The 17,432-nt window shown below is 43.8% G+C and overlaps 1 protein-coding gene across 3 annotated transcripts in view; it reads left to right on the top strand.

Moving 5' to 3' along the window:
• Window positions 1–17,432, top strand: part of ANKH (ANKH inorganic pyrophosphate transport regulator) — a 166,979-nt gene that overhangs the window by 108,523 nt on the left and 41,024 nt on the right. For all 3 annotated transcript variants that reach the window (NM_054027.6, XM_017009644.3, XM_011514067.2), the window contains exons 3-7: window positions 4,658–4,776; window positions 7,312–7,395; window positions 12,017–12,187; window positions 13,950–14,084; window positions 17,294–17,386. In NM_054027.6, the coding sequence (NP_473368.1) occupies window positions 4,658–4,776; window positions 7,312–7,395; window positions 12,017–12,187; window positions 13,950–14,084; window positions 17,294–17,386 (602 nt within the window). The remainder of the gene's footprint in view (window positions 1–4,657; window positions 4,777–7,311; window positions 7,396–12,016; window positions 12,188–13,949; window positions 14,085–17,293; window positions 17,387–17,432) is intronic.

Raw genomic sequence — 17,432 nt, 5'->3', positions numbered from 1 at the left:
CAACAGTACCTGTGAGACTTTTAAACATTGAGGACTTGGGAATTTGAATTAGAATAATGGTTCTCAGATTTGCCTATTGGATGTGGAAAAATGTGTGTAGACTTATTTCGGTTCATATTAACATTTTATGGTTTGCAACAGCTCCTGGATGAACAGGTTTGAGAACCACTGATTCAGAAAGAGCCCATGGCCCTGGCTGGCTGAAGTCAGTGGACCCGTGGATCTGAAGGGCACTTTCTGTGTCCCTTGTTTAGGAGGGTCAAAGCTGTCCACCTGTAAACAGGTCAAGTCAGTGTCTTCTTGCTGTTGCAATATCATAAAATTTGTTTACATCTGTTCAAAAACCTTGTTTAATTTTTTTTGTAATGTTCTGCTCTTCATAAGGAATACAAGCTGTTTTAGAACAGTCTTGGTAAGGCGGTTTATAGAAGCTGAAGGTTGCTAAATATTGCTAAGGCAGCTAGCCTGGTAATTATGGACTCTATGCAAATCACTTTAAACAAATTACCCCCCCACCCCCCCAATAGCTCTAGCTGGAAATAGCTCAGGGGCATGGGAGGGAGGGAGTCGCCCCAACAGAGTGGGTGAAAACAGTTGTTGGGATTTTATACTCACAGCTCCCAGGGTAGAATTAACCTCTATAGCTATAATCAGACTCCTCTATCATGTAGGGGAAGAGTAGATGGAAGTTAGAAAATCTGGGAGGAAAAGCTTCTTCCCTTGGCCTCCAAATATCTCCCGGAGTAGCTGAAAGAGGAAGAGACTGAAATAAAAAGAAGTTAAAAGAAGCAAAGGCAGCCTCAAGCCTCATAGGTCCCACAGTACTCTGAAACCAAGGGAGCTAGGACAAGCCCTGGATGCTGAAGGAGGCAAGAGTTGGGGACACCTTCTCACCCAACCAGAAAGCTGGGCTGGGCTCATCCCCAGGAGAATGGATGGCGAACGCCCCAGCAGTCCTTAGACCCCATAAATATTACATGTTTACCCCAGTTACTCTGCATGAAGGCACTGTTTTTGATGTTTCTGTTAAACTATTGAAATAAGTAGCTATATTTAAGAAACTGAGGTTAAATTATATAGAGAGTTTATTTGGGCCAGGATTGAGGATTGTCACCTGGGACACACTTCCCAGTGGCCTTGGGGAGTGCTCCTTTCGGCCTTTGTTACAAGCAGGTTTTTAAAGGCAAAAGGGGCTGGGTGCGGTGACTAACGCCTATAATCCCAGCACTTTGGGAGGCTGAGGCAGGTGGATCACCTGAGGACAGGAGTTCAAGACCAGCCTGGCCAACATGGTGAAACCCCATCTCTACTAAAAATACAAAATTAGCTAGGTGTGGTGGCACACGTCTGTAGTCCCAGCTACTTGGGAGGCTGAGACAGGAGAATTGCTTGAACCCAGGAGGTGGAGGTTGCAGTGAGCTGAGATTGCGCCACTGCATTCCACCCTGGGCGAGACAGAGCGAGACTCTGTCTCAAAGGAAAAAAAAAAAAAGGCAAAAGGGGACAAGGAATGGTCTGACACGAAGTTGCTTGACGGGAATACTCATTGATTTACGGTATAGGGTATGAATTGTGGTGTCCAGCATATGGCATTTTATGGCTACTTGGCATCAGTTCATCTGGAGCGCACATAGCAAGTGGCTTCAAGGTCATTATTCACTCAAGGTGGGAGTGAGATGTGACTGCTGTCACACATTGTCACATTTCAGTGCATCCCTAGGTCTGATAATTAAAGGGGATGCCCTTACTCAGATGAGTTTCTTTTCCTTCTCAGCAGGGAGAAGCTTATGTGTATTGATCTCTATTTCTGGGCGCTACATGCAGACTGCATGCCCTGCTCTCAGCTGCTGAAACTCACATGTCCCATCTGATCTTCCTGCCACCCCAGAGTTTAACATGAAAATAAGCCTGTCTCCCTCTCTCAGAAGCCACTTGTACCTGTGTTCCAGGGCTGCCGTAACAAAGTATCACAAACCAGGTGGTTTAAGCAACAGAAATTGAGCATTTCACAGTTATGGATGCTGGAAGTCCGAGGTCAAGGTGTTGCAGGGGCGGTTCCTTCTGAGAGATATGAGGAAGACTGTCATCTAGGCCTCTCCCCTAGCTTCTGGGTGTTTGCTGGCAATCTTTGGCATTCCTGGGCTTGTAGAGGAGTCACCCCGGTTTCTGCGTTCATCTTCACACTGAGTTCTCCCTGTGTGCATCTGCCTCTGTATCTGAATATCCGTTTTATAAGAACATCAGTCATTGGATTGAGAGCCCACTCTACTCCAGTATGACCTCATCTTAACCAGTTATATCTGCAGTGACCTTATGGCTAGATAAGGTCACATCCTGAGATGCCAGGGGTTAGGATTTCAACATCTGAATTTTGAAGGGACATAGTTCAGCTTACAACACTGCCCTTTCACCAATTCCATAGTCCCCAGCTTCAACCATGGCAGTCAAGTCCCCTCAGCTGGTGTTTTATAGTGACCGTAACCTTCACCAGGGGATTTTAGCTCATGAGCTATTCCTAGCCAGCCCTGTGCTCTTGCACTTGGCATTGTGTTCGTTGCTCTACTCGCCTGGCACAGCTGCCTTTACCATTGCCAGTGGCCTCAGCTGAGAGGTGGGTGTGGGGACAGCAATGTGGGCAAGGTCAGGATGGTCTCCTTGCAGATCCCTGCGCAGTGAACATTTGTTGACTGAATGAAAACACATGTGCAAATAAACAGCAGCAGCAACAATAAACTTTGAACAAAATTTCCACAGTTCGGCACCCAAAGTAGATCATCTGTATGATTAAGTAACATCTTCATTCTGGCTTTGTGTTTCAGCCAGCTTAGCTCATGTCTAAATGCAATTCTCACCTGGCTGCAAAATCAGGCAGGAGCTCTCCCTCCCTGCCTTCCCAGGTCAAACCTCTACTAATCCCCTTTTCATCTCTGCACAGCTTCTGATCCAAACGACAGGGACATCACAGCTGCCTCCTTCCATCCATGTCCCTTGCTATAACTAATCCCATCTTCCCAGGTCTCTCTTCTTTCTGCCACGTGACATGCCCTCTCTTGGATTTCTCTTCTTGGTGCCTCAGTGGTTCTGATGGCCCAGCTACTACCACACCTGGCACCTTTGCTTACCTGGCAGCTGACCTTCTGGTTGTTCACCTCTACCCTGCCTGGAAGGACTAGGAGCTTTCCTCCTGCACTCTCCCCGACCTGCCCCACCTCACTCTCTGAAGATCGTAGTCATTCCAGCTTCCCACACCTTGAAACCACTTACTCCCACCTCTAATATCCATAGTTGTAAGAGAATGAAAATAGTAGGCACACCTACTGTTAAAACACTCGTAAGACACTGTGAAAAACCTGAAGATTATTATTTTCTTGTCTTTCTTTTCCTTTCCTTCTCTTTCCTTCCCTTTCCTTCCCTTCCCTTCCCTTTCCTTTCCTTTTTTTCCCTCCCCTTCCCTCCCCTCCCCTCCCCTCTCCTCTTCTTTTTTCTTTTCTTTCTTATAAAGACAGGGTCTCACTCTGTCACCCAGGGTGACGTACAGTGGCACGATCATAGCTCACTGTACCCTTGAACTCCTGGGCTCAAGCAATCCTCCTGCCTCCACCTCCCAAGTAGCTGGGACTACAGGCATGTACCACCATGCCGGGCTAATTTTTAAATTTTTTTTTTTTGCTAGAAACAGAGTCTCACTATGTTGCCCAGGCTAGTCTCAAACTCTTAGGCTAAGCAATCTTTCTGCCTCAGCCTCCTGAAGTACTGGGATTACAGGCATGAGCCATCATGCCTGGCCTGTTATTTTTATATATAATCTAAACTTCTATCAATGAGGTGAAAAAATAGCTCAATATTTTATTTAACCTTTGCTAATAATATCTGTCAGGATTCCTGACTAATACATTAGGAGACCTTTCTCCTTCTTCCCTATTCCTATTTGACACATATGCATTCATTCAGCCCGTACTGGCTGAGTGCCTATGTTCCAGTCACTGGTAACAAATTCTGATATTGGAAGGACTACAAAAGCACCTCCGCAATGTCATTTTCCAGCGGTGCAGGACTATACCCTAAGTTGCCACCCTCTTCCCAAAAAGTGAAATAAAAGAACTGGCAAGTGTGAAAAAGCTAGCTTTAAAGTTTTATGGAAAGGCATATTAACATCTAGAAATTTTCTCTTAGTACATAGTTAAGAATATGTGTAAACATTTAGCTTCAAACCTAGCCACCAAGCATTCTTTTCTAGTATCAAAATGATGGAAACCACCTCACTGTGTAGCAATAGGAGACTGGGCAAGCTGATACCAAGCAAACTCTCAAAAAGAAATTCAGTTCATTGAAGGGAATTCAAAGAAATAAAATGTAGAAGTATATCATGGAAAGATGTTCATGGTTTACAAAAGAGTATGTGGAATACAATCTCGTTTTTACGTTAAAACACAGAACAATAAAAGAACTTGGTGATTAGAACCCAGAGCATTCATTGGCTGTGACCCACTCTGGGTAGAGGGATGAGATTGTAGATGATTTTTTTCTATTTGCTTATCTAATTTTTCTATGACGAACAAATACTACATTTAAAATTGTTTTTAAGCTTTTGAAACAAAAAGAATATAAAGATATCCTTTTCTAAATATTTCCACATATGCCTTTCGACACTTTGCAGCTTATAGTGATTTAGGATACTACATTATCAATAAACTGCACCATGTGGACGAGTCGGTGGGGAGCAAGACGAGAAGGGCCTTCCTGTACCTCGCCGCCTTTCCTTTCATGGACGCAATGGTGAGTAGAGAAGATCGTTGGCTTTCTTTCTTTTTCTTTAACTGGTGGTAAAATATACATAATATAAAATCTACCATTTTAGCTATTTTTGTGTGTACAGCTTAATGGCAGGAAGTACATTCACATTATTGTGTAACCAATCTTCAGAACTCTTCATCTTGCAAAACTGAGATTCTATCCTAATTCAACAGTAACCCTCCTCGGCCCCCTCCCCAGCTCTGGGCAACCTCCATTCTACTTTGTAACTCTACAAATTGGACTACTTGAGATACCTCAAAAGAGTGGAATCATACAGCGTTTGTACTTTTGTAATTGGCGTATTTCACTGAGCGTGTCTTCAGAGTTTAACAATGTAGTAGCAGGTGTCAGAATTTCCTTCCTTTTTAAGGCTGAGTCACTTTCCAGTGAATGTCTAGGCCACATCTTGTGTATCCGTTCGTCAGCTGATGGACACTTGCGTTGCTTCCACCTTTGGGTTCTTGTGACTAACGCTGCTATGAACGTGAGTGTGCAAATATCTGAGTCCTTGTTTTTGGTTCTTTGGGGTATATACCCAGAAGTGGAATTGCTGGATCATACAGAAATTTGATTTTTGATTTTTTGAGGAATTAGCAGACTGATCTTCGTAGCAGCTATACCACCATCAGAGTACTCAGGTTCCAATTGTCTGTTGACTTTTAACCAGTCCATCTTGTCAATTTATTTAATTTTGCCACAAGTTCTGGTAGGTGGCAGGAAAGCCCATTTGAAAATTTTGATGCAGATAAACAGTTCTTTTCTGATATACTCAGGATCAAAGGATCAGAATCACTTTCTGATAAACTTACCACTTGTGTGGCACAGACACCCAGAGTTTTAGAGTAAGAATCTGTTGAACATACTGGTAGGGTTTCATTATTTTAATAACCAACTTCACCCCATTAGCTCAGGGCTGCCCACTTCCATAAATTCTTTGTCATGATTCTGAGGAGTGCTTAAACAGTGCTTTTCATTCTCTTCTGCTGTCTTATAAATATAAAAAAGACTTAGCAAAAAAAAAAAAAAAAAAATATATATATATATATATGTTCCAATAAGGTCCAATGCTGGAAAGTAAACCCTTTCCTTTGGCTCCATTTCGAATTATTCTTGGAAGGAGACTTAAAAATATGTTAGTCTGTATAGTTTTTTTTACCACCCCCACCTCAAGTTTATATGCAGTTAGATGCATGATGTAAGTGCATAACTGGCTTCCCTGCGGTGCCTGAGCTAGCCCATGGTGGTAGCCCAGTTAGAGAACTGAAGGAGGTGGCCTTTCTGACATCCCTAAAGAGTCAAAGCCCAGCTTCCTGGACAGGTCCGTGTCATTCCTCTGAGGTCTGTCCTCCCATCTGTGTTGAAGTGGGAATCTACACACATAGAAGAATTACAGTTATACGGTGAATTCCAGGAACTCAGGACTGTTAGTAAAAGTGAATTGCAGATTCTTAAGGACCTGGTATTCCATGTCCCTTTAGCTATATTTATTTGCCATAAGAGAGTTTCTGAAATCAAATAGAACACCAGAACATTTGTAATTGGTACTCTTTTCTTCCATGTTTCTTCTGTAAGTTCCCCCAGAGACCCTGGTATAACAGCAAGAGATGGCTTATAAAAATGAAAATAATGAACATTTATAAGGACCAGATCAACTCCTCCCTCCCCACCCCCTCACCCCTGGCAGCTTGGCGCTGATATATTGGTTGGAGAGAGAATATTTAAAGCCAGCAAGCTTATTGTATGGTGGCTTTCAGACAACAAAGCCAGCCCACAGCTGTGTTTGCAGATGGGCAGGGAATTAGCTGTTGCTGTACAAAATCTTGACATGGACCTGGGGAATAGACCCTGCTTGCCTCATTGTGCGTAGCTCAGATGAAGTGTCATTTCTGTGTCAGTCCAAATCAACCTTGAAGGTAAGAAGGATGATCCTTAAACAGAGCCCGTCATGAACTTGAAACCTTCTCCAGACCTGCTGTTCCTCGGGCTTTTCGTCTGCTCCCCTCGTAGCATCTTCCTCCTCATCTCCCAAAGTGTCAGGTCAGATCCTGCCCAAACTTGAAGGCAAGAAAACAGTAGGCCCTAATCAGTCAGTGAGCACCGGTAATGACTGTAATAACTCAGACCCAAATGAGAGCCCTCATTATGATCTGCATCACGTGGGAAGGATGCTACTTTGGGACTGAGACGCTTGAGAGACAGAGATTGTGTTTCTTCCATTCTTGGTATTCCTTCAGCTTTCCTGCCAGGCATACAAACCTAATAGCGCACTAGTCTACATACAATTGGTACTAAATAAATACCTGCGTGCAGTCCTTCACTCCACTGTAAACTCTAACATGGAGCCAGCCACCAGATCAAGTTACAGTAATTTTACCAACCAAAGATTTATCAGACCTGGGCTGCTAAGGCTTTGAGGGGGTATAAAGTGTATTTCAGGAATGCCCAGTAAATCTCAACAACCAGAAACAGCATAATCCTGAAGGTGTATCTCATGCCAAATTCTTTTCTTTCTGGCAGGCATGGACCCATGCTGGCATTCTCTTAAAACACAAATACAGTTTCCTGGTGGGATGTGCCTCAATCTCAGATGTCATAGCTCAGGTAAATATGGTCTGTGTGTCAATCAGAGCTCCTCAGAGTCCCCTTCTGGCGTGTGTAACTGATGTGTGATTTATATTCATTCACTGTGCAGTACACTCTGCATTCGACCTGGTTTTGCCAGCACCGTTACATCACATAGAGACCTCAATAAATATTTGCTAAATGAATGAGAAAAGGGAATGCCCTGTAATAACAGTATGTATAATCTTGCTAGAATATGGGTTGTAAGAATTTAAATTTAAATAAAGGGGTTTTGACCTTTATTTTTAAAGAGCATGCACATGAGATGAGCATAAAGTCATACCTAGTACCTTTCGGCATGTCTTAGGGTCACTGTTTACTTGCCTGGGTGCCCTCTGCGTGGCCTATCACTATGAAGTCTGTCACTCTGTCCTAGAGGGAAGGCTCTTAGGAATTATTCTTCAATGTTCTTATAATCCTCTGTTGTTACCATGCAGGGCTGCCATTCACAGGTCACTTCCCCACATTTAGAAGGAACCAGGAAGTGGATTCAGCTACCTTTCCACGCGGTCTGAGAAGAAGGCCTACATCCCACTTTCTGTTGGGTCCAATTCTCTGAGCCCTGGCACTCAGCCCTGGCTTTCTGTCCTTTCTTCTTCTACCAAGGATAGCGCATGAACAATTTTAGTGGAAAAATAGATTGAATTCTTATGATTTATAAATTAGACTAAGTTCCTACAGTCAGGGATTTGGGAGAATGATTTCTTCATAGAGGAAGAGGTTAGACTATATCTCTAAATGCCTTTCCAAATTCTCATGTCTTTTTTTTTTTTTTTTTGAGACAGAGTTTCGCTCTTGTCGAATGGCACAATCTCGGCTCACTGCAACCTCCACTACCCAGGTTCAAGTGATTCTCCTGCCTCAGCCTCCTGAGTAGCTGGGATTATAGGCATCTGCCACCATGCCTGGCTAATTTTTGTATTTTTAGTAGAGATGGGGCTTCTTCATATTGGCGAGGTTGGTCTCAAACTCCTGACCTCAGGTGATCTGCCCACCTCGGCCTCCCAAAGTGCTGGGATTACAGGCATGAGCCACCACGCCCAGTCTCATTTCTATTCTATGAATATTTCCATACATTTTTCCTTTCTTGTACACCCTGCTCTCTTAGCCACCTTCTTGAAATAATCGACTGTTGAACTGTTAGTACTTCCCTGAAGACCAATAATTTCCAGATTAATCGTGTTTACTCCGTGGATCACTATTATAAGTAATTTAAATGGATTTCTACTAACTGTGTGTGTGTGTGTAAATACTAGCAATACTAGCAACCACCATTCTTTGGTATGTCTTTGTTAATTTTCTTAAGAGTTAGTAGAGAATTTTGTCCCAGTCTTACTTTCTGTATCCTATGGGAGATGAACTAAACTGCCTTATTCACTCTAATCACTTCATTTGAAATTCAGTAAGCCTCTCTAATTTCAAACACTGGCATCAGCAAGTCGGTGAGCATTTGTGAGCACACATTTGTAGATGTGTGTTTTTTTAAAGGCAAAAAAAAAAAAAAAACTCTTAACTTTGCCTAAAATAAACATAGTACCCATCCAAGGACAGAAGAAGAAAAGCCTATCTCTGAAAAAGACTTTGCCAATACACCTACAGCCATTTTCCTTCTCTATTTTAAACCTGATCCTGGCCCTTGCCTGTTGAGGGAAGGCCTGCAAGTTTAGAATAAACAGATCTGGTTAGTGGGAGCGTGGAAGCCGAGTTCAGATGCCATCTGGCTTCAGGCTGTGCCTGGTGGAGTAGTTATTTTAAACCTTGTTGCTTGAGTTCCTGCCACAATTTGGCTGGGGGAATAAATTCTCTTTTTAAGTCTTTTACCCTCAGGCTTCCTCTCATTACCTGAAAACGTTTGTTAGGTATGAAAACATACCTAAGTTGGTAGTGAGCAAATGGATTCCATGCAAAGTACTTTGAAATATCACCTTGGCATAAATAGCACATAATCACCAATCACCAATGATAAAATGGAAATCATTTATAATGCCTCAAATTTCAATGGCAATTCTCGAGGGGGGTTTTTTGTTTTGTTTTGTTTTGTTTTCAGATTTTACTAAGTTAATGGGCTTCACACAATAATACAAAAACCTCTTGGTTTGTTGCAACCATGCAGTGCTTTTCTTTGCCGTCATTATTTTAACAGTGATATGTTCCAGTCAATCATTGCCAAGGGATTCGTGGAAACATATTGCTGTTTTTGTTTTGTTCCCTGGTCATCTGGACCTTCTTAGCTTGCTTGATATCAAGGTGAGAATTGTCAAGGTTGTTTGCTGTCTTTGGACTTTCCATCCTGTCACTCCTCTGCTATCATCAGCCCTCGCCTTTCAAGGTCAGCTGACATCCCAAGGCTGGTCAGATCATAATGTGTACATCCCCCGCATTCCTGTAAATTCCCTTATCTCCTGCCTTTTCATCTCAGCCTTCTGAGAAAATTCCTCTGAACCAACCTTATGTTACACATCTTCCTCCAATTGCGCGGTGCTTCTGCAAAAGGTTACACAACAGAATAAACTAATCGAACTGTAAATGCACAATCTCATCCTTCACCTCTGCTAACTCTGTAGCAACTATTTCAGAGAGTTTCTCTACCTCTCACCTTCCAACATAAGACCTCATTTCCCACCTCACAGAGTCAACTGCAGCAACCAAATTCGTCACCTTCCAGCCAACAAACCTACACACTTACTTTCCAACCCTGCATCCTCCCAATTCTCTTCTCATTGTAGGGGAGGAGGTGTCCCTCCTCCCATCCAGGGCCACTCCTCTGGGTCCTGGCCTATGCTGCTTCCTCAGGAACCTGTTCCCTGCTTTCTCGTGCATCGTTTCCCTTGTCCTGTCACACTCACATGTCTGCCATGTTAACACAGCAACGAGAAGCTTCCTGTGTATTTCACCTAACTCTTTAGCTACAGTTCTATCACTTTATAGCCAAACTTCTTGGGAGGGTGGCTTCTACTCACTGTCTTTTTCACTTCTCTTTCATTCTCTACCTACTTGAGGCTGACTTCCACCCCCATCAGTCCACCCAGATGATTCTTACTAATGACTTTCCTGCCATTAAACGCAGCAGGCAGCTTTCCTGATCTTTGCTCTGTTGACTACCCGCTCCTCAGTCACACACTCTTTCCCACCAGCCCTCTCCCCGCTGCAGTCCTGGTTTTTACATGTTTCAGCTTGTTTTTCCATTGGTATTTGGCCATTAAGGTTGATGTAGCTCAGGAATATGCATTGTCCTGCTTTTGTTCTCAGTATGCTTCTGAGGTCTTTGGAATGAGTGGATCCCAGGAGGACTCTAGACAAAGGCTGGGCTGATTCTCTGATTTCTGCAGTACAGGGAGGTTAATACAGTTAAGCTTGATTTAGAGACTGTACCATTGAATAGAGATATAAACATTATTGTAATTTCATTCTCTCACTCTGGTTATTTCAACCTATTCTAGTTTTATAGGTTAGTATTTTAAATGTTAATGTAAGTTGTTTTATAATTATTACTGTTGGTGTTTTTTGGCAGCATTTTTAGTGACTTTTTTTTGAGATAGGGTCTCACTGTCACCCAGGCTGGAGTGCAGTGGCACGATCAAAACTCACTGTAACCTCAAACTCCTGAGCTCAAGTGAACCTCCCACGTCAGCTACCAAAGTAGCTAGGACTACGGGTGTGCACCACGACACCTGGCTCATTTTTAAAAATCTTTTACAGAGATGGGGTCTCACTAAGTTGCCCAGGTTGGTCTGGAACTGCTGGTCTCCAACAGTCCTCCAGCCTCAGCCTCCCAAAGCACTGAGATCACAGGTGTGAGCCATGGCACCCAGCCCATTTTTAGTGCCTTCTATCCTATAAACATTAATGTCTATTTTCCTGTATATGTTATTTATCACTACTGTTTTTTTCTTTGTTAAATGTAGCCTAGTCCTCAGATGTGTGTTACATACACATCTGAGTGTCCAGCCTCGAGAGGGAAAGGCTACATTAAGTTGGTAATGAGTAAATAGATTCCATGCAAAGTACTTTGAAATGCCACCTTGGCATAAATAGCAAGTAATCACCAAGCACCAATGGTAAAATGGAAATTATTTATAATGCCTCCAATGTCAGTGGCAATTCTTGAGGGGTGTTTTTTTGTTTGTTTTTTTGTTGTTGTTTTGTTTTTCAAATTTTACTAAGTTAATGGGTTTCACACAATGGTACAAAAAATCTCTCGGTTTGGTGCACACATGCAGTGCTTCTCTGTGCCGTCATTATTTGAATAGTTATATGTTCCAGTAAATCATTGCCAAGGGATTCCTGAAAACATATTGCATAAATTTTTTTAAAGTAATAACCTTAAAAAAGATGCCTTGAAAGATTTTTGTAGTTGCTTAAAAGAATTTTCATGGTGGGTATAACAAAATGATCCATGTTCCTCCAGTGAATCCCAAACATCTGCACATGAATTACATGAGAGCGACATTGGGTCATCATCCAATTTTTGGTTCTGTTTGCATAAAAGTCAAGATCTTTGCTCAGAGGTCTGTCTCAGGTTCAAGAGCGTGCCCCTGTGCTTCTGTCAGTCGGTTCCCGCTTCTCCCCTCTGACCTGTTCCCGTTCTCCCTTCTCTCAGGTTGTTTTTGTAGCCATTTTGCTTCACAGTCACCTGGAATGCCGGGAGCCCCTGCTCATCCCGATCCTCTCCTTGTACATGGGCGCACTTGTGCGCTGCACCACCCTGTGCCTGGGCTACTACAAGAACATTCACGACATCATCCCTGACAGAAGTGGCCCGGAGCTGGGGGTACGTCTACCAACCCAACAGCAGTCTGTCTGAGACTCAGAGTAGAATAAAACTGTATTCCACCTCTATGTAAAATGAGAAATCAGTGACATCAAAACATGAAGTTGGCCAGGATGTCATACCCAGAGGCCAAGTGCTAGATGTCTGCAGGGAAAGACAGTTGGAGGATTAATGAACTCTAACAGATGGATGTGATCTGAGATGTCACTGTCCAGCCTCCTTATCCCATAGGAGGAGACAGAGGCACAGAGAATCTGTGGCCAAGGAATAGATACGACATTCATGGTTTTTCTTGCTCTTATAAGTTATTCTGCAGTCAGCAAAGGTTTTAGGACCCACGATACCTTTGAGTTTATATTTCATTGTGTTTGATTTTACAGCAGGGATCCAGGCTTTGTTTATGCTTTCTTCAATGGCCAATCCCAGTCCCTTATTCAGGTGCCTCCTGGGGACCAAGCACAACGTTAGGTACCATAGGGCAACACAGAATATTTTAAGATATGGTCGCTACCCTCAAGCAGCATCATATCCCATCTGGCAGATCAGAACAATACAGAAGCAACAATTAAACAGTCATCTGAGACAGCACATCACCTGCATGAGGATATAGGAGCCACGAACACTGGGAGAAGGAACATAGTGATGTAGTGTAAGATGCCTCCTTGGAGGAGGTAGATCTTGCTGTGCCCTGAAAGTTGAATAAGAAACAAGTAGGAATGAGATAGAGAACCTTATAGAGATGACCAAAGCATTCTGTTTGTTGTAAGTATAAACATTATCTGATTTCTGTGTGTGCTAATTTTCCCTACCCATAGGTATGAGACATCATTAGGTTTCTCTGCATTTAGCTGTAAGGCATCTATAGCCCTGAATTCATCCCCTCACCTCACCCTGATCCCTACTTGGGCCGCACATTACTTTGTCGTATCAAGCAGTAATTGTTTTGACCACTTACCTCCATCTGAGGTCAGACTGTCAGTAAAATCCTATCTAGTTATCCCATCACTAGGCCAACCACAAATTGGTCTTGACAGTAACAATCCATCTCTTAACATTTAGCCACCAGCAAATGGAAATAAAGTGACCAAGATGGTTCCATGATGTAACTCTCACCCTTGTGAACAATCAAAACCAAAATTGCATAATGAAAGCCAGGCTTTAAAGATATTCCACACCTTTGCCACAGAAGTCTTAGGAATCCCTTGTTCTTTACATGCCTTTATTTTGATTATGCTTTTGAACAGTTTACATGATGTCTGTGAGAGCTCCGAGAATAAGAACCTCTGTAGTCAGTTTCTACACTGCCAGAATAATTAGGCACATTTTTGTGAGCTGACTGATTCCAAATAACTTTTTTATTTCTAAGAGTTACCTCTTCCTGACGTGGCTTCCAGCCAGTCCATTTGATGAGATTAACAAAGACTTAATTTCAAACCTGTTTCTCAGGCTCGAGATGTGGGTTCTACCTTGGTTAGAGATTCCCCGAGTCTCAGTATGGAAAAGAGTGGTTGGGATCCATTAAACTTCAGTGTGTGTTTTAATTTCACAGCAGCTTGCCAGCTGTCTCGGTTAATTTCTATTAGGACTGAACATTTTATTTTAATTCAACTTGGCTTGTCTACAGACACTTTTCCTTATATTACTTTCAAGTATAGTGAATTGGCTTGTGATTAACATACGAAGGAAAAGCTTTGATTCTGAATCGTTTTTTCCATTCTGCTTCTAGAGTTCAGGTAACTTTTATCTTCGTTTCTTAACACAGGGAGATGCAACAATAAGAAAGATGCTGAGCTTCTGGTGGCCTTTGGCTCTAATTCTGGCCACACAGAGAATCAGTCGGCCTATTGTCAACCTCTTTGTTTCCCGGGACCTTGGTGGCAGTTCTGCAGCCACAGAGGTGGGCCATGCTTTGGGGATGTGGGGCTTATGATCACCTTGGTGGGGCAGGGGGGTGCTGAAACTGATTTCCAGTTCTTCTCGAGAGCTCAAGTAATTCCCCAATATTAAATTACATGACAGTCACACTAGGAAGCCATAAAGATCTCGTTCGGTGACTTATAGTCATGTAATTGTATATTTTTATGATTATGGGAGAAAACCTGTCATGCATGTCGTACATCCTTCTTGTTTATCATATGAGGAACTGAGGCACAGAAAGAAAAGGTTAAAGACACAGAACTAGCTGGAAGCTGGGCTAGTGTTAGAATCCAGGTTTTCTGACTCCCACTCAGTTTTCCATGTCCACGGAATCAGCACTGGCCTCTTCACCGTGGTGGCAGAGGATGATGGAGCATGCATGCCACATGGCAGCAGAGTGGGACACACCCAGTGGCTGCAGGGGCGCTGCCTCCGTGTTGACCCGGCCTGCCCTCACCTGCCCTTCACCATCCTGCATGTGCCACCTGACCCGTCACCACCACACCCGTGCCTGGCATGCCCACCTCAGATGGGGAGCTCCTTGATTGAACAAACTTTATCTGGAAACTGGCAGCCACTCCAAAGAAAGAGTTGACTCATTTTTCCCTCTTTCAAGTTGGGTTTGAACAAATAGAATTACTTCATTGGCTTCCTCCTCCACTGCCCTCTGGAGAATTAATTCCATCTCTGGAACTGCTGGTCCCAAGGAAGGCTCATGGCTGCCCACGAGGGCCCCCTGTCCAGGCACTGCCTTGAGGGGAGCGGCCCGGAGCCCTTACTGCGCTGTCAGCATGTCTCCAGCCAGAGTGCCTGCCAGTTTCCATGTCCTGGGAAGCTGCTCATGTTCTCCTGGAAAAAGAAGCACATAAATCAAAAGCAGAACGCTTTCTCTTGCTTCATGTGTTCCTGGATTTTGTTTTTTGAATCATAAACATCATCTTGGGTGGCTACTGTAACACACAGGTTTTGTTCTTGAATACTTCAGTTCAAGTTTCTCACAAAAAGTATGGGACCCCCACCACCTGTGTGCTAGAATTCCATCCACCCCTTTAAAAAAAAAGAAAAAGGACAAATTATACATTAGAGCCATTTGAAAATTGCTCTCGATGGCATATAGGAACAGCACGTGGGGTACAGCACTGGCATTTATTGGTCATCTGCTCATGTGCCAGGCATTTATGTACATTTCCTTGACTCCCCAGTAACCCTATGGGATGGATATTATTGTTCTTACTATTCCACCAGAGCAGCAAGAAGGGGAGCCGTGGGAGAGGTGGTGCTTCGCACAGCTGGGGAGCGATGAGGTGAAGGTTTGGATCCAGGTCCGCCCGATCCCAATGCTCCTTTTTGTTCTAGCACAGCACGCCACACCACACTTTCTTCACATTGCTGGGGATTTGCCTCATGTTCCTGGAACCTCTGGACATTGCCGTTTTGTTAATTAAAACAGATGAAGCTCGTTCTCCTCCTTCGCAGGCTAGGCAGAGGGTTGAACACTGCCAGGATGTAGGTTTAGATGCTTTGTTTTCGCTTTTCTTCCTTTTCATTCACATAGGGAAGAAACTGTCATTTTATTTTTTCTTCTTTAAGAGGTGGGGTCTTGCTTTGTCACCCAGGTAGGAGAGCAGTGGTGGCACGATCACAGCTCACTGCAGCCTCAATCTCCTGGGCTCAAGCGATCCTCCTGCCTCAGCCTCCTAAGCCACCATGCCCAACTAATATTTGAATTTCTTTTGTAGAGACGGTGTCTCGCTTTGTTGTCCAGGCTGGTCTCGAACTCCCAGGCTCAAGCAATTCTCCAACCTTGGCCTCCCAAAGTGCTGGGATTATAGGCTTAAGCTACCATGGCTGGTCAGAAACTCATGTTTTCATGGAAACACATTGATAGCTTTCTGCACAAAATATGTATTTAATTTTCTTAAATTAAAAATCTAAATTGGGCCATACTGACCAAATTATGGTCAGAAATCCCATACAGACTGGGAGTGAGTTGGGTTGTAAGGAGAGTAGCACGGAGCCATCAACAACCACGCAAAATGTCAGCATCCCTGAAGGACGGAGTGGAGGCTTAGAGGTGGGTCCCAAGGAAGAGACCCTCCAGAGAGCAGGGAGGGCTCGCAGTTGCATTTTGAGAATCCAAAATAAATAGAGCTAGACTAGAGGGTTCTGTGTGGCTCAATGGAATGAGCAAGGATTCTGGAGTCAGGTGGACCTGGGTTGAAATCTTGGCTTCTCAGAGCAATGGATGGTCTTTTCCCATCTTCATAGCCTACACTTGATTAAGGTGTAATAAAACCCAAAGGGAGGGATTGAAACCGTCTTTGCAAAAATATGACTGAGACAGTGAAAGAGATCTAACTTAACTGACTCCATCTTGCTTCCAACCTCCAAGCTGTCCTTGTTCATTCCTGGGTGTAGGCTGAACTGACTTTGGGAGAAACTTACAGTTTATAGTTTAAACAAAGATGGTAACAGCACTTTCCCAAAGCAGACCTCCTTCTTGCCTGGGGACTAGATTGCCTTTGTAGGACTAACATTAGCCACAAGATTAGAAATTATGTTTTAGGAATCATGCAGCTGGGGGCTACAACATTCTGATCCTCCCTAAACTGCTCCAAAGTTCAGTGCTTATTTTGCAGATCCTGCACTTGATGGATCAGCTGGCCCCACGCAGATCATTAAACTGGCTCACCTGATCTTGTTGTGGCCCCTACCCAGGAACTGACTGAGCACAAGAAGACAGCTCCGACTTCCTATAATTTCATCTCTGACCCCAATGCTCGGGGAGACTGATATGAGTAATAATAAACTCTGGTCTCCCTCAAAAATTAAAAGAAAGAGAGAAGGAAAAAAAAAAAAAAGGAATCTTGGCTTCCCAGCCAGTGGTCTGCACCTGTTTCTCATTGGATCTGCGTAAAATGTGACGCATCCCCCTCGTTTCACGTCCACTTTGTTGGCTGGCTCATTGCACTCCCAGGGATGAGGCAGAGTACCTGCCCCTAGGAGCCCAATTTGCTGTCAGTTCCCCCCGTCCTGGGCCGTCCTGTGCTTGCCTGATGTTTGTCACCCAGTGTAGCGGGCTCTGTCCTCAGTGGCTGCACCTGAGTCGGCGTGCTTCGTCACCTACTGTAGCTCCTGGAGGACTTCCTGCTGGTACCCTGCTAACTCTGCCACCTCTTCCTGTTGCAGGCAGTGGCGATTTTGACAGCCACATACCCTGTGGGTCACATGCCATACGGCTGGTTGACGGAAATCCGTGCTGTGTATCCTGCTTTCGACAAGGTGAGAACCCGTGCGGTGTCGTGTCTGAAACATGCTTTTGAAATGA

Source organism: Homo sapiens, chromosome 5 (genome assembly GCF_000001405.40).
Source record: "Homo sapiens chromosome 5, GRCh38.p14 Primary Assembly".
NCBI classification, from domain to species: domain Eukaryota; kingdom Metazoa; phylum Chordata; class Mammalia; order Primates; family Hominidae; genus Homo; species Homo sapiens.
Note: the sequence above shows the minus strand (reverse complement) of the source record. Positions and strands in the feature narration are given on the sequence as shown.